This window comes from Homo sapiens, chromosome 2 (assembly GCF_000001405.40).
Source record: "Homo sapiens chromosome 2, GRCh38.p14 Primary Assembly".
Classification (NCBI taxonomy): domain Eukaryota; kingdom Metazoa; phylum Chordata; class Mammalia; order Primates; family Hominidae; genus Homo; species Homo sapiens.
Window position 1 is genome coordinate 225779666 of NC_000002.12, and position 18754 is coordinate 225798419.

An 18754-nucleotide genomic window follows, 5' to 3' on the forward strand; every position below is an offset into this window, starting at 1 on the left:
AGGTGTCCATCTCTGAAGCATTTTGCAAGGTTCTCATGAGCTAAACATGCATTTCCTAAAGAAAAAACAATGCCAACTTGGAACTCTTTAAAAATGAAAGACCTAAATGAACACAATTTACATACATGTGAGTTGGAATGTGGAATTCATGCACTCTAAGAGAGTGGTTCCTCTGTAAGGACAGAAATGCATTGGCACCATTATGAGCTGAAACCAGAGAACAATCCCAAGCATATTGGTTTCCTGTGGTCACTCCAACAAATTTCCACAAACTGGGTGGCTTAAAACAAGAGAATTTTTTTTATCTCACTGTTCTAAAGGCCAGAAGTCCAAATTCAGAGTGTTAGCAGAGCCAAGCTCCCTGTGGAGTCCCTAGAGGATCCATTCCTGACCTCTTCCAGCTTCTAGTGGTTGCTGGCATTCTGTGTCTTGTGGTCGCATCACTTTAATCTCTGCCTCTGTGATCACAATGCCTCCTCCCCTTCTGTTTGTGTCATCTCCTTTTCTGTCTGTCTCAAATCTCCTTCTGACTTTTTCTTATAAGGACACTTTTAATTTAAATAAGGACCACTCACATGATCAAGAATGATCTCCTCATCTCAAGATCCTTAATTTAATTACTCTTACAAAGACTCTTTTTCCAAATCAAGGTAACATTAGCCCGTTTCAGGAATGAGGAGTGAACCTATGTTTTTGGGGGTCACTCTTCTATCCACTATGCCAAGTAATGGCAAGATCGTCCAAGGGAACCTTACTGGGAAACAGTAAGGTTCTCTTTGTGAAACAGCTGATGTCGCAGACCTCTCCTCCACCTTAATCACAAGCCCAGGAGAAGCACAAACTGTGAAGCCATTTATTGTATCTGAATGAGTGCATGTATCATTGGAGTGAGGGTACCTGGTTTGCTGGAGTTAATAAGTCCTTAAACTGCAATACTATGTGAGTTTCAGGTCTACCAACTTTTCCTGCCCAGTCTTACAATAATACCTTGCTAGGTGTTAGTGTGTAAAGATAAATAAAATAGGGCTGCCGTCCTTGAATTGATCAGCACATTGAGAATGTGGCATTAGATTAATTCAGGGAATGCAGTAAAGATTTTGCACCCTATATGATTTTATGTTGTTGTCTGTTAAAGTGCTTCTTGTCCTATCAGTCTGTTTCTTGTCATTGTCAATTCTGTGTCATCCATCTATCATGGGCCTGGAAATTTTGGAAGTCCGTCATGAGTCTTAAAGTTGTGTGAATTTGTGAATGTTTGCCCTAGAGACAGTCTTTCTAGCTGGAAATGAGTAAGTGGCCAGTCCACCTTTCGAAACACAACTCAGAATAAATAATTTAATTTAAAAAATCTCCTAGCATCTAAGTTAAATATGATATCTGGGTATTATAATTTGCCTAAATGCCCACTGCTAGGCAAGCTTCCCAATTATCACTAATTCCTAGTTATTCTTGTTTGCATGTGATTCTAATAATCCCTATTTAGCAGTTTTCTGAGTAAATAAGAAACATTAAATTAAAGTGGACACATAGAGAGCAATAAAAAACTGCAGATAAAAGCTTGACAGAGAATGATTAGAATGAGGATTTATGCTTTGCATAATATTCTCTGGGAATTTGATAGACGAGAACCACATTTTTATTACAAAGTCTTGTTTACTTACCTATGTGCGTATTCAATAAAATCTTGTTACAGTTCAGCAGATAGACTCTGAAAAGTACATTCTGGCTGACCATTCAAAAGACAAATAATATCTACACATGCAGCTTTTGAGATAGTGTAAGTGATAAACATTGGAAAGATTGTAAGGTTATAAGGCAGTGTCAGCCATTGCTGTCTATATCCCTAGCATCACTTTGGGTTAATAAATCCTGTTTCTGATCATCAGTTTGTCTGGTAGCAGAATCTACCTGGATTGAGGCTGACGAGCTGTTGGGGAAAGCATCAAAGTGATTTGCACATCTTCAGGTAGTGCAGACTTCATCAGTCAGGGTATAAGAATCCAAACCAGATTAGTGCACCAAAGAGCGGTACTCATTGTGCCTGTTCTACCTTTAATTGGTTAGTTCCCACATAGATGCAGATGTTCTTCAGGGACAGATGTCATGAAGGCTCCCATGTGGTTTAATTCTTGGCTTCCAGAGGTGTATTTTCTCTTTGCTCTTTCAAAATAGCTGATTGACTTGTATCCCTGAAAATCATCCCTCAGTTGGCTGTTTATTTTGTTTATTCATTCACATCTACTTTACCTATTTTTTGAAACAGATTTGAGGCAGCCAAGGTATAGTTTTGAGGAAAAGGTAGCAAAACAGTTTCTAATGTGAACCACCTCTGAGTGTTATGCTGTTTTAGGCCAAGTTTATTCATCTTTAGGACATAAAGCAAAACTTGTCTTATTAATCGCCTGCCAAGATGAAGAGGCAGTGTGAAATACACTATATTAGGTTGTTTTCAGTTTGACTACAGATTTGAATGAATGACTTTATTGTGTTTGTACCCTCAGGCTTTTTGGAGTTAGGGGCATATTGAAAAAATATTAAGAAAAAGTAATCTTGTGAATCTGATTACCCGCCCATGAGTGGCAGAAGCAGACTGTCACAAAGGTCACCTTTGTGAAGAGAAGTGGAATCACACCCAACTTGGGCACAGCCAGCCCCTGATCCTGAGGCTAAGTAATCTGCAATACCAGGACACTCCTTTGGCTTACTCTTTCAGAGAAACTTGTTATATAAGGGCTTTTTGCTTCCGAGTATCTTTGAGAGATCCAAAGATTAGTATTCTCTATCATAGAGACCCTTTCTCTGTCTTCCCTTCCTGCCTTCCTTCCTTCCTTCCCTCCCTTCCTCCTTCCTTTTTTTCCCTCTGTCCTTCCTTCCTTCTGCCCTCCCTCCCTTCCTCCCTCCCTCCCTTCCTCCCTCTCTTCCTCCCTCCCTCCCTTCCTCCCTCTGTTTCTCCCTTCCTATCTTACCCTTCCTCCCTCCTCCCTTCCTCCCTTGTCAATTCCTCCATCCTCCCTTCCTCCCTTCCTCCCTCCCTTCCTCCTTCCTTTCTCTCTCCCTTTTTGGCTCGTTTGTTCTCTCATTCGTCGTGCTCTTCATCCTCTGTGGCCTTCCCACGCTCGTTCCTTCGCCCTTCTTCTCTCCTTCCGTCCTTCTCCCCTCCCCGCTTCCTACCGTCCTCCCTTCCTCCATACCTCCCTTCCCCTTCCTTCCTCCCTTCTTTCCTTCCCTCCTTCCAACCTCCCTCCCTCTCTTCCTCCCTCCCTCCCTCCCTTCCTCCCTTCTTCCCTTCATTACTGCCTTCCTTCCTCCCTTGCTATCTTCCCCCTCCTCCCTCTTCACCTTCCTTTTTTCTCCCTTCCTCCCTCCTTCCTCCCTCCCTTCTTCCCTTCCTTCCTCACTTTCCCACTTTATCCCTTCATCCCTTCCCCCACTTTCTTCCTTCCCCCCTTCCTTCCTCCCTCCTCCCTCATCCCTTCCTCCATTCTCCCTTCCTCCATTTCTTACTTCCTCCCTTCCTCCCTCATCCCTTCCTCCCTTGTCCCTTCCTCCCTCCCTCCCTTTCCCCCTTCCTTTCCTCCTCCCTTCCTTTCTCTCTCCCTTCCTCCCTCCTTCCTTTCCCCTTTCCACTTTTCCTCCTTTCCCCCTTGCTCCCTTCCTCCCTTTCTTCCTTCCTTTCTTCCTCCCTCCCTTCCTCCTCCCTTCCTTCCCCCTTCCTTTCTTCCCCTTCTTCCTTCCCCCTTCCTTTCTTCCCCCTTCCTCCATTCCCCCCTTTCCTCCCTTCCCCCTTCCTTCCTTTCTCACTCCTCCCTTCCTCCCTTTCCTCCTTCCCTTGTTTCCCCTTCCCCTTCCTTCCTTCCCTCCCTCCCTCCCTCCTTCCTTCCTTCCAGAATAAGTGTTATACTAAGCTCACCCATGTAGCATTCCTACTCTAATTATGATAACCAGCTCTTACACTTTAAATTTTCTGGAATGACAGAAAATACATTTGTATACAAATAAGAAATATTATGTAATATAACAACAGAAGACTTTTTTCCTGAGAGATTGTGCACAAAAATCAACTTTGTAAACACTTACGTAAAAAAAGTCAATATAAATATTTACAGCAGAGTTTGAAAGATGACAAACTCAAGGGCAGATCTGAGCTGAAGATATTTTTTATTTGAGCATTATGGGTTTCTGAATTTGAACCAAAACTTGGAAATTTAGAGACTCAATATGCAAATCACATATTTTAGCTTCTCATGTAAATATTAGTGATGGCAGTGCTAGGGCCACATTTTGGCATGGCTACAAATTCTCTCTCCTCCCCAGACTTGACTACAGTGTATGTCTGACACTCATGCCACATAGGCATAACACCTTAGTCATGGTCACTTCACTAATTTAGCTTGTGTGAAATAAAATGTCCATGATGACAATAGCAATGGATTCTGATATATCGTATTTTGTGTGCCAGGTACTTGTCTAAGCTCTTTACATATGTAATACTTATAATCCTCACTGTGTTGCTACCCTTATTATAATTTTCTTTTTCCTGAAGGGGAAACTGAAGCAAAGAGAGAACATAGGAAAAAAAATTCCTTTCCTAGTACTTGGTACAGTTGACCAACTTAATGTCATTATTAATTAAGCAGGGCTGTTGAATTGTGTAAGACAAAAACTAATCACATAATCAGAGGTCTTATCGGGTTTCCTTAGTGGTGCTCAGAGTATAATTTATAAATTAAACCCTAGAATTTATCTTAGAAATCTTAGCCAATCAGCCTTTGTGATTCCCATATAAACTGTTTTTTGGGCGCTAAATGACAGAATATGTATACCCAAAAGCCTTTCAATTGCCGATGTTTTTTCCTAAGGCACTCATAACATGTGTCCCTAAGCAACACAATATCCATAAGGAGGAAGGTCTATTACCATTATAAATCAGTCTCCTGTATTAGGCACAAGAGACCATAGGCAAAAAAAAATTCCTTTCCTAATACTTGGTACAGTTGACCAACTTAATGTAATTATTAATTAAGCTGGGCTGTTGAATTGTGTAAGACCAAAACTAATCACATAATCAGAGGTCTTATTGGGTTTTCTTAGTGGTGCTTAGAGTATAATTTATAAATTAAACCATAGATTTTATTTTTCTGGTGGTTTATCCCTCATATCTAGTAGAAGTGGTACTTTGTAAGCTTGCCGACACTAAACATTTTAGTAAATCATCAGTTTGAAACCCTTAAAGAGTATCTAGAGCTTTAAACTGACATCTCCAAGTACTTTAGTACTAGGTTGTACACACATTGCCCACTGAATCCAGTGCTTAGGAACCTAATGTCTTTAGATAGTTGGTGCAGAGGATGAATTCCTGGTCATGAAAGACATATTACATATCCTCTATGTCAAGCTTGTCCAACCCGCAGCCTGCGGGCTGCATGCAGCCCAGGATGGCTTTAAATGCAACCCAACACAAATTCATAAACTTTCTTAAAACATGATGATTCTTGCAATTTTTTTTTTTTTTTTTTTAGTTCATCAGTTACCATTAGTGGTAGTGTATTTTATGTGCGCCTCAAGACAATTCTTCCAATGTGACCCAGGGAAGCCAGAAGATAGGATACCCCTGTTCTATGTAAATATATCTCTGGTACTTTTAAATTAAAAATTTTGCTTTTGTTTTCTTCAAATCCTGAGTGGTCATGATATGCCTTGCCCATAGTTTCTTCCAATGACCTTCCCTGCAATTTGTCCTCATTAATTTCAGGCTGCACTGATACTTATGGCCCTTTTAGTATGCCCATTTTCCAGTGATCTCTACATTCTTTTGTTATTTCATTGTTTTTTATTTTATTTTTTACTCATATCTTGAATATACTGTGTAATAAATTTGTAACTACCATTCAAAGCAAAATAGCAAATATTTCCTTCAGAACAGAAATTTTCTTTCCCTGCTACCCACCCACCCAAACCCTTCCACAACCACTTTTACTCAAGCTCATTGAGGGTTAATTGATCTACCTTAGCCCACATACAATACACATGTGCAATTTGATAAGTTTATATATATATTTACATATACTCATGATACTGTAATCACAGTCAAGATGAGATTGTAGTAGAGTACTTATCAGCTGAGAGCATGTGTGGTATTGTAATACCTATTGATCAGGAAAGTATAATATAAATATTAAAATATAATAAGATGGTACCTAAAAATTTATAACTTATATTGCCCTGAGAGCTCTCAATTACTGAAGGTTCAAAATAGTCCACATGCACGTTTGTGCACACACATAGTATATATGCATACACACACATACATATATACACACATACATGTATGTATAAAAATACAGTATTTTATATATATATATATATATATATATATATATTTTATATATATATATATATATATGGAAAAGCTTTCAAAGACAAATAACAAGGTAAAAGTGCCTAAAGCAGCTTTAAAAGGGTATTCTCATATTGATTATGAGACATAGATAATATACTCAAGAGGTATGTTTCACTAAGAAATGCCTTGCTGTATCTAAAGGTTGAAACTTTCCTAACTCTATTACAATGAGCATATCATGTCTTCTCAAAAACACACACGCTGTTTAGGTGGACCATGGGAGTGCATGGATAATGAACAAGAAAATACTTTTAATATGAAAGGCCAAGAAGATGTTAGCAATTTCTTGGGTTCAAAAGAGGAAATAAATACCAACTAAAATGAAAAGAAAAACCTGCAGGGAAAAAAGCACTGGAGGACCCAGCTTCATTTTTAAATTTAATGTTCATAATTTATCCACTATGACCTAAAAAAAGCAGTGTCTGCAATTTCTCATTTCTGGAGCCTGTTTTGCTCCACTATCTTACAAAAGAAACTAAATTTCCTTGTAGTCAAGCTGAATCCCAGAACCTACTTAAATAAGATAAGCAGTTGCTTTAACCATTTCTTAAGTATATTCATCAGAATTGTTGAAATATCTCTTGCTACTATTAACGATTCCCAGAAAATATTTTGTTTTCTTTAAAAAATGAGTATGAAAAGTGTTATTTAAATCTCTCCCTATACATTGTTTTAGCTTCTGAAGCTATTTTAGCACCTCCTTATCTGTTTGTCAAAAATCTAAAATGATTTTTTGCCTTGACTGTCAATTGGAAAAAAAGGCACTCTAAATGCCTCCATTGTGAACAGTTTACAATGATTTCTTTGAAGTAGCTATTCTGAGGCATATACTTATTCATTAGTATATAACAGGTTAGCACTTTGAGATAAAAGACATTTTACAATATGCAAATATTCAGGTTTGTGTAGGATTTCTCTCTCTCTCTCTCTGAAAAGGAGTAGGTGAAGCCAAACTTGACAGATAAACATATGTGTGGTCTGAAACCTTAAACTTGACCATAAAAACACCATGGCCCATAATAATATAATTTATGCAAGTTCAGTAGAAATAAATTCATTTCTTATAGGTTAAAAAGGAGTATAATGCTAATTATCATGTTAGCAATTACATGTACAAATATTTTTTTTTACAATTGGATGTATCTCAGAAAACATGAATACATTGACATTTTAAAGTGAAACATCTTTTTATACATATTTAAGATTATTTAACTAAAAGAACTCTTTTATACTTTTATGGAAGAAAATACACCTAAATTTTCTGCTTTATAAATCAGTTACAAAATTTTTCCTTAAAATTGCTGTTTTATTTATTTGTATACTATAGATTATAATTATGTGATTCCTTTTCAAAGGTTGTTTTAAAATTAAATTTTTAGATTGTATTTTAATTAACAAATAATAATTGTGTATACTTAAGGGGCTATAGTGTGATGTTTTGATCTACGTATACATTGTAGAAAGATTCAATTAAGCTAATTAATATGTCCATTACCTTATCAACATGCTTTGTGATTAGGAATATTGTAAATGTATTCCTCTAGCATTTTGGAAATACACAATGCATTATTATTAACTGTGGTTACCATGCTGTGCAGTAAGTTCACTAAAACTTATTCTTTCAGTCTAACTGAAACTTTGCACCCTTTGGTTACTATCTTCCCTTTCCCCATCTGTCACTTTCATCTCCTGCCTCTGGCAAACATCCCCTGACCGCCACAAAAATTACAAACCTTTAAATACATCTATTTGTATTTATGTATGTATGTATTTATTTGAGACAGAGTCCTGCTTGGTTGCCCAGACTGGAGTGCAGTGGCACCATCACAGCTCACTGCAGCCTCAACCTCCATGGGCTCAGGCCATCTTCCCACCTCAGCCTCCCAAAGTGCTGCGATTACAGATACAAACCACCACACCCAGCTAATTTTTAAAATTATTTGTAGAGACGGGGTTTCCCTGTGTTGCCTAGGCTGGTCTCAAATTCCTGGGCTCAAGCAATCCTCCCACCTTGGCCTCCCAAAGGGCTGGGATTGCAGGTGTGAGCCACTGCACTTGGCCTAAATGAAGTTTTAAATAAAATTGGCAAAGGCTCCATATGGATTACAGATTCTCTATGGATGAACATAGAATTTTATGATTTGACTACTGAATTTTTTATTTAGACAGACTATGAAGCGTTCGATTGCTCCTTTGTTCATCATAGTAACTCCAGAATATCATTTTCCCTTCTGTTCTTCTCCTTCAATTTAGCACCTTTCCTAAAACAGAGATTAGTAGGTATTAAAATATCCAAGCAAGTTAAAATAGCATGTAATTATGTCTTTCCTTTGAAGAATTCTCAAAAGAAAGAGCTGTGAAGAGAAGCACGAACACCAACATTGGTTTAAACAGAAAACGTACTCCACAAGATTTGTGGACTTGAGGAGATCACCAGGGATTTTTCTTCCTTGAAAGAAGGTAGCCTTCCAGGCCTCATCTTTCTCCCATGCTTCATCTTTCTCCCACGCTGGATGCTTCCTGCCCTGGAACATTAGTCTCCAAGTTCTTTGGCTTTTGGACTCTTAGACTTAAACTAGTGTATTGCCAGGGGCTCTCAGGCCTTCGGCCACAGACTGAAAGCTGCACTGTTAGCTTTCCTACTTCTGAGGTTTTAGGACTTGGACTGATTTACTACTGGATTCCTTGCTCCTTAGCTTGCAGATGGCCTCTCATGGGACTTTACCTTGTGATCGTGTGAGTCAATTCTCCTTAATAAACTCCCTTTCATATACACATACATCCTATTAGTTCTGTCCCTCTAGAGAACCCTGACTAATACAGCCTCAGTTCTCATTCATAGATGGCACTGTTTAGCTGAGTCTACTCTTTCCACCTTCTTCTGCCGGCTTTATTTTAGCCATGATGACAGCTGATTAGATGGTGCCCACCCAGCTTGAGGGTGGGTCTGCTCGTCCCAGTCCACTGACTCAAATGTTAATCTCCTTTGGCAACACTCTCACAGACACACCCAGGAACTATACATTGCATCCTTCAATCCAATCCAATCAAGTTGACACTCACAAGGGCCCTCAGCAGACACTGAATCTGCTGGCACCTTGATCTTGGATTTCTCAGCCTGTAGAACTTTCAGAAATAAATTTCTGACATTTATAAGCTATCTAAGCTATAGTATTTTGTATATATTTTTATAGCAGCACAAACAGACTAAGACAACATGACAGCCAATTCCTTATTTTATATACATTTATATACACACACATACATATACATATATATACACACACACATACATACATACATATATGAGCATATATATGTATATAAATCATCCACAATGTGAGTTGACAAGCTGGTGGTCTAGGAGACCCAGGAGAGCCAATGGTGTAGTTTCCACCTGAAGAAGAGCAGATATTTCAATTCAAGTCTAAGGATAGGAAAACACTTATTGAATCAACAGAGTATATGTGTGCATGTGTATATGTATGTATACATTATTGATTCTATTTATCTGGAGAACCTGGACTCAAAAAAATGTAAACAGAAGCTTAGGAAAGAAAAAATAAAACTGTCCTCATTCACAGGTTGTATGAATGTCTATGTAGGAAATCGTAAAGAATAAAAAGCAAAACCAAAAATCTTGATCTAAATGATCGTAGCCAGCTTGCAGGACACAAGGTTAATATTTAAAAGGCAATTATTTTCTTAGATACCAGGAATGAACAACTGAAATTCCAAGTATTTATTTCTGGTATCTAAGAAAATAATTGACAATTGGGATTTCAATTTTTTATTCTTGGTATATGAGAAAATAATTGTCATTATATTAGCACCAAGTAAGTAATACTTAGGTATTAGTCTAAAATAATCTAAAATATTTATGAAGAAAACTATAAAACTCTGATGAATGAAATCAAAGAAGATTTAATTAAGTGAAGAGATGTTCCATGAACATGGACAGTAAGACTCCAATGTTGTCAAGACATCAGTTCTTCACAACTTGATCCATGTATTTAATAAAATTTCAATCAAAATCTTAGTTAATTATTTTGTCTTTGATTAAATATTTATGAATAAATTTATCAGAGTCTATTAAATATCTCACTTGGATTTTTATTAAGATTGCATTGAATCTATAGATCAAGTTAGGAAACACTGACATCCTAACAATATTGAGTCTTTTAATCCATGAACATCTAATATATTTTTACTTTTTCAGATAATCTTTTTTCATATGTATTATAGTTTTCTGCAAATAGATCTTGTGAATATTTTGTTAGATTTATGCCTAATAACTTAATGTCTTATTTTGTTTTTCTTTGTTTTGGTACTCTTGTAAATGGTAGTTTTATTTAATTGCAAATTCTAATAGTTCGATGCACATATATAGGAAAGCTATTGACTTGCATATGTGAACCTTTTATTCCATGATCTTGCTATACTTGCTTATTAATTTCGGGGTTGTTGTTTTTTCTTTTTTCTTTTAATTTTTTGGTATATAATATCACCAGCAAATACATTTGGTATTATAGCTTCCTTGCCAATGTGTATATGTGTATATTTTTCTTTTTCTTTTCTTATTTTATTTTCAGAGACTTCCAGTGCCATCCTGAATAGGAGTGGTGAGAAGAGACATCATTACCTTATTCTAGGTCTCAGGGGAAAAAATCTTAATGGGAAAGTTTCCCACCATTAAATATGATATTAGCTACAGTTTTTTTTGTAGATGAGGTGTTTTTTTGTCAAGTTGAGGAAGTTTCTCACCATTCTTAGTTTGCTGAGTGGTTTTTCTTAATCATGAATGGATATTGAATTTTTTTAGCTTTTTCAGTGTCAATTGATACGATCATATGCTTTTTCTTTAGCTTGCTGATGTGATTTGTTACATTGACTAGACTTTTTTGTTTGCTTGTTTGTTTGTTTTTTGAGACGGGTCTTGCTCTTTCATCCAGGCTGGAATGCAGTGGCACAATCTCCTTTCACTGTGACCTCTGCCTCCCAGGTTCAAGCAATTATGCTGTCTCAGCCTCCTGAGTAGGTGGGATAACAGGCACGTGCCACCGCATCCGGCTAATATTTGTATTTTCAGTAGAGAGGGGGTTTTGCCATGTTGGCCATGCTAGTCTTGAACTCCTGGCTTCATGTGATCTGCCTGTCTTGGCTTTCCCAAAATGTTGGGATTACAGGTGTGAGCCACCACACCTGGCCACATTGACTAAATTCTAAATGCTCAATCAGTGTGTGTATTGGAAATAAATCCCACTCATTTGTGGTATGTAATTCTTTGTACACATTGATGGATGCTGTTTGCTAATATTTTGTTGAGAATTTTTGCATCTTTACCCACGAGTGATATTATTCTTTAAAGTTTTCCTTTCTACTCATGTGTTCATCTGGTTTTGTTGGGAAAATGCTGGCCTCATAGAATGAGTTAGGAGGTGTTCCCTCTGCTTTTATCTTCTGGTAGAGTCTGTGGAGAGTTAGTGTTATTTCTTTTATAGGTGTGTGGTAGAATGCACCATTGAATCCATCTGGGCCTGGTTCTTTCTTTTTTGGAAAAATTATTAATTATTGATTGAATTTCTTTAACATACATAGCACTAGTCAGGTCACTCTTTTCTCCTTGTATGCATTTTGGAAGTTTGTATTTTTCAGGTTATTGTCCATTTTATCTAAGTTATTAAAATATGTAGTCATAGTTTTGTTTGAAGCTTTCCCTTATTATCCTTCTAACATCTGTGGGATCAGTAGTGATGATGCTATTTTCATTTCTGATACTGTTAATTTGAACACTCTTACCACTTTTCTTGTTTAGCCTGGCTAGAAGTTGATTGATATATTAATCTTTAAGAGAACCAGCTTTTTAAATTAGGTTTCTTCTATGCCACATACAGTTCTATCTTATTAATTAATTTTCAGAGCAATTTTACTTTTAAAAAATAATTTAGCAATATTTAAACTAGTGGAATTTTAACCTTCTAAAATACAATCTAAATGAAATGTAGTTATAGCCAAAAGTCAGGTAAGAATTACTTTGATTAATAGGATACATTTGGAAGAGCTGAAAGACTCATTTGATCTTTTAAAATTCACATATACTTTGATATTAATTTTAATTCCTCTTGTGGTATTTGATTTTTTAATAATTAGTTTTTAATATGCTTCCAAGGATATTTGGGGAGAAATCAGAATTATAATTGCTTCTAGATGACATCAAATTAAAAGAATTTATTAAAATAATTTCCTTTGAGGTTATACTAGAAATGTACATAGAACTATAATGCATAATTTTATTAATTGTCTTTTATTGTAGATAGATGATCACGTCTTTAAAGTTGATTGAATATTAGTATAATTTAATGGATTCTAGAAAAAGGTTTGTAATCAAGTAGGCAAAATTTTAAATTCTCCTCATGCCACATACCAGTATTTGACCATGGACACATTACATAAATTCTCTGAGTTGCAAATATCAACTAATATGGGAATCAAATCAAATAAAAAATACAAACTATTGTGTCAGATGGATGTAGCTTCTTGACCATGATCTACTATTGATTAGCTATATAAGTTAGTTATTTGAGTTAAGTAGTTTCTGTAAGTCTATTTCTTCCCTGTTAAACAGGATATTATAAATTAGGTACAGTGGGTTTTCTGAAAATTAAGCAAATATTATATTACACTTACTAATAGAATATAAGCTTAAAGGTGCCCAAAAGTGCTTCACACAATATAGTTTCTAAATAGGTGATAAAATATTTCTTCATTCAGAAATATGAAATCACTGATTAATATAATTTTTGAATTTTTCTTTCACAGTTTTTTGTTTTAACATTTTAAAATATTAAATATTAACAATGTTAAAAAGAATCTCTTGTTTATTTAGATCTACAAAAAGAAAAGTGGCAGTAATAATTAATATGTAAATCAATATAACAGATTTTGCTTTGCATTTTCTCATTTCTGGAAATGATAATTGACTGTTTAAAGCAAATATAATAACAATGTATTATAGATTTTATAATATAGTGGAAGAGGGAGGAGGAAATGGAAAGATACTCTCGTAAGGCACTAGGTTACATATTACAAGGCATTATGTTATTTAAATATAGACTATAAAAAATTAAACAGGTACATTGTAAACCCAGAGCAACTACGAAAAATTTTTAAAAAGAAGTATTGCTGATAAAAGTAGCAGCAAGCATAAACTTACAAATACTCAATTCATATAAAAGGAAGCAGGGACAGAGAAAAAAATAACAAAGAATGTATGGAACAAATAGAAAACATAGTAATCATATGGATAATTTCCAATAAATGTAGATAGTCTAAGTGTTCCCATGAGAAAATAAAGGTTGTTCACACTGGATAAAGTAGCAAGATCCAATTTTATGCTATGTGAAGGAAGCCAGAAACAAATTATTATACAAGCTATGATTTCACTTATATGAAGTTACATAAATAGCAAACTTTTAGTGACAGAAAACATACTGGTGTTTTCTAGGGCTAGGGGTGAGGTGAGCAGATTGATTTTAATGGGGCATGGGAGAACTTCTTGGGGTGATAGAATCTTCTGTATCCTAATTATAAGAGTGATTATAAAACTGGGTACATTTGCTAAGACTCATCAAACTGAGCCCTTAAAATAGGCTAGTTTTACTGTATGAAATTTGTAACTTGTAAAAAGTAATTTAAAACAGTTTATGAACATCCATGTTTGGAAACCAGAAATGATTTCCAAAGGGCCTTCATTTCTGTTAGATTCTTGCAGTTTTCAGATTTGTACTTTTAGCCATGAATTTTGCAGAGACAGGAGGAGTGAGTTTTCAACATGTTCGGCTTATGTGGGTGTTCAATAAATTATTTTTAATCAGCTGGATGACTCAAAGGAGGCAAATTTGAGATGGGGGCTGGGGTTAGTTACCACTAGCACAATGTATTTTTAAAACCTAAAATGCCTTAAACATTTGCGTTTTGGGCTCCTAATTTCTTTCTTTCCTTCCTTCCTTCCTTCCTTCCTTCCTTCCTTCCTTCCTTCCTTCCTTCCTTCCTTCCTTCCTTCCTTCCTTCCTTCTTTCTTTCTTTTTTGAAAACATACTCTCCTCTGCTTAGCTGGAAGAATAAAATCAATGGCAGCTCTGTTCCAGACATTTGTTATGGTGTGACTGGAAACTATTGCATACTTGAGCAGGCTATTTGGAAGAAGATTCTCCATACTATGTAAGGCAATAAACTTACTTCTTTCCTCAACTGTTTTGCTGATGCCTGAAAATATGAAGTAATTTTAGAGAGGTCTCTCATTTTTTCTATTCAGATGCTAGCAGGCTAACATTAATTTGTGGTTTGTTAATATTGTGAGTTAATATCACTACTACATAAGCAATATATAATTTTTTTAAAAGTCATGAAACATACAAACATAAAGGATGGTTTGAACTAGTGTTTGAGCAGGCAATGAGAGAGTATTTTAAGAACCTGAACCAAGGATTATAAACATGCATAGATGACAAAATTCAGACCCTTCTAGCAGATAAACTTTACTCCCTTCTAGGAGTTATTCAATGACATAGCTGTTAGCTATTTGATGCTTATCACAAATTTATTAATAATGAAAAATTTGAATTTATCCATAAATGAATCAGAAATAAAAAATGCAATCAAATATGGCTAGGTTCTCTCTGGTAATTTAAGGTTGTGGAATTCAATTAAACTAAAATAAATTGTCAGGAGTGTCCCCCTGGGTGTCCAATAGAGCTTTATGGCAGATTTAAGGACTTGGAATAGCCTCACTCCAGACCCAGGAGACCTGAGTGTCTCTTTGATCAATTATTGTACTTCCATTAAAATATTTTTACTTCAAAATACTCAGGGGACATCTTGATCACTGATTCTTGCTACAGCTATCAGATCATCTAGGTCTTTTATTTTTAAAGGTTATCACTCCTCTCTGCTAATGCATCCAATGTTTAAGGAGTTCCACATGCAGCTGATAGAAATCTTTCTTGCTGGACCAATAATTGACCTTTCCTCATAGTAAAAGATGTTTGTCATAAAATATCCTAGTGAAATTCATGTGCTATCCCCTTAACAATTTGGGTGACAGAATAACGTAAGTAGTAGCTTTGATGGCTCAGCTATGTTAATAGCCTTCTATGGTAATAGGAGTGATTGATATATGCTGTAATCCTACACTGTGATTTTGTAATATTTCTTTGGATTTTTATGTTGATGTGAAAACTCTGCTTGGAAAATGACTGGTCACCAACACACGCACACACAAAAAATGTTAACTCTGGGCAGCAAATCTGTTGAATATTCACTGGACCAGTTTTTTAAAAATCACATCATATAATGAAGTGAATGCTTGCTCCTTCCCTACATTAAAGGGAAGTTAACAAAATCAATTAAAAATCTGGAAAATACTTTGATCTTCTGAAATCTACAATATACCTGTGTAGTAATACTTTCATAGTAGTGCATTCAGTAATTGTTAAAAGAAATTCTTAGTCATTGATACTTGGTGTATTCACTTTTATTTCTAATTTCTAGTTATTTGTTTATTTGTTTTGTAGTTGTAATAGCACTTCTATATGAGAAGTGTAGGCTGGGCACGGTGGCTCATGCCTGTAATCCCAGCACGTTGGGAGGCTGAGGCAGAAGGATCACGAGGTCAGGAGATCGAGACCACGGTGAAACCCCATCTCTACTGAAAAAAAAAAATTCAAAAAATTAGCTGGATGTGGTGGCAGGTGCCTGTAGTCCTAGCTACTCGGGAGGCTGAGGCAGGAGAATGGCATGAACCTGGGAGGCTGAGCTTGCAGAGAGCTGAGATCATGCCACTGCACTCCAGTCTGGGTGACAGAGTGAGGCTCCACCTCAAAAAAAAAAAAAAAAAGAAGTGTACAGATATTCAATTATTTAACAACTTTGGATTCTTGTTGATTCATTTTGTTGGCTACTTTGAACATTAAGCATATTAATGTTCAATTTTTGAAACAATTTTAGATTCTTATTGATTCATTTTTTTTTGTTCAGAACCCTCATTCATAGAATAAAAAAGTTCAGGCTAACATCTCTTTCCTGCAGGTTACGAACATGCAAACATCACTGTCTTTGGAGGAACATTCTTGAACTAACCAGTTTGCAGTTAGGTGGCATAGATTTAGGTCAGTCCCAGAAGGGAAACTTTATGTATACTTGTATTTCATTATTTTAATGGCATAAAATATACTCGGTATATGGCTAAAAGCACAACAATGTTATATGCTGGAGGAGAATGGTAATAGTAAAAGAAGAGATATTCATAAATATTCTAGGAGTAAAAGCAAGAGAAAGGAAAGATAGGTTTTCAATCCAAATAAACTACCATTACAAGTTATTAAGAGGACTGAATAATGCTTGAAGAATTATTCACCGTGATGTACAAACATCATGGTGTGGATTAATGATAATATAATAGTTGCTTTCACAGAAATCTGTTCTTTTGTGAGCTTGATATATGAAATAATCATTTATTTTAGACATTTGTGAATGTTATTTAACCAATATTCCATTGAAAACCTATAAGACTAAATGTTTATGGAATATAAATTTAAAGGTGCCCAAAAGTGTTTCACACAATATAGTTTCTAAATAAATGATAAAATATTTTTTCATTCTGAAATAAGAAATCATTGATTAATATAATTTTTGAATTTTTCTCTTCCATAGTTTTTTGTTTAAATATTTTAAAATATTAAATATTAACAATGTTAAAAAGAATCTCTTGCATATTTAGATCTACAAAAAGAAAAATGGCAGTAATAATTAATATGTAAATCAATAAAACAGATTTTGCTTTGCATTTTCTCATTTCTGGAAATGATAATTGACTGTTTAAAGCAAATATAATAACAATGTATTATAGATTTTATAATATAGTGGAAGAGGGAGGAAGAAATGGAAGGATACTCTTGTAAGGCACTAGGTTATATATTACAAGGCATTATATCGTTCCTAACTCAATATGATTTCAGATCAGAATCTTAAAAAGGAAGGATTATAGTCTCTAGGTATCGTCTATGATCAAAAGATGAAGTTATTTATTTATATCTTATTCAAAGGCTGCAAGCAAAAAGAAGACAAGCCCATTCACCCAAATACAGTACCATCATAGTCAAAATTTTATAGTTGAAGTGAAGGAGTGTGTGTTTGTATGTGTTTGTATTTTTAGGTTGTTAATTTAAAACATTTATATCCATACACATTTACATAAAATTACTTGGTTCTTATTTTATAAAATCCTCATTAACTTCATTTTTGCCATATTTTCTTTGTCTTCTTCCCCTGCATGCTCTCTCCCATGATCATATAGAAAAATATAGGATATTTAGGTGTTCTGTTGTTTTCCTAGGGTTGGGTGCTTAAAACTACAGTAATTCATTCCTTCCCTGTTCTGGAGGTACAAAGTTCCAAATCCAGGATTGTTCTCGTACAGAGGTTCTGAAGGAGTATTTGTCTCATGTCATCCTGCTGCCTTCTGGTGGTTTCCAGGAGTCCTTCATGTTTCTTGACTTGCAGATTCACCACATCAATCTCTGTCTCTGTCTTCAGATGGCATTTTCCTCTGTGTGTGTCTGTGTTTCTTCTCTTCTTATAAGGATATTGGTCATATTAGATTTAGGGACCGTCTTAATCTAATATGACCTTTCCTACCTCTGTGAAGACCTGATTTACAAATAATGTCACATGCATAGGTTTTGTGGGTTATGGCTTCTATATATTTTCATGAGGGGCACAATTAAACCTCTAAGAGCTGTTTACAGAACATACGTGTACATGCATACACATGTAGTTTCTGCATCTTTCTTTCTTCACAGAATACCTCATGGGAATTCCTTACAGCCAATTGTTATGGCTCTACCACATTTATTAATGCCTGTATAACATTCCATGGTATAGGTGCTTGATAATTTATTCACTGCTTGCCAGTGAAGGTCATTCACTGTTTTTTAGATTTCATCACTACAAACTAAGGTGCCCTAAGTACCTTAGTACCTTTCCCAGTCAGTTCTTTGTATCTATGTAATAGATTCCAAGGTGTGGAATCAAAAGGTATATGTGTTTTAAAATTTCCTAGGTGTTACCAGATTAATTTCCAAAAAGTTACAACAATTTGTCTTTTCCCCAACAGTAAACAGGCATAGTCCTTTTCTTGCATTTCTGCCAGAATAGGTATTGAAGCTTTTATTTAATCTTTCAGCACAATGAGTATGGAGTGATATCTTACTCCTATGATTTACTGTTCCTCACTAGTGGGTTTGACCATATTTTTATGCTTCTTTGGCCACTTGGACTTGTTTTATATTGTGATGG

At 35.5% G+C, this 18754-nt stretch overlaps 2 long non-coding RNA genes across 5 annotated transcripts in view; one reads left to right on the forward strand and one right to left on the reverse strand.

The window, feature by feature from the left end:
* LOC105373914 (uncharacterized) overlaps positions 1-18754 on the reverse strand; it is a 211043-nt gene that overhangs the window by 99117 nt on the left and 93172 nt on the right. The gene's annotated exons all lie outside the window — the stretch shown is intronic.
* LOC107985992 (uncharacterized) overlaps positions 1-18754 on the forward strand; it is a 118146-nt gene that overhangs the window by 9093 nt on the left and 90299 nt on the right. The gene's annotated exons all lie outside the window — the stretch shown is intronic.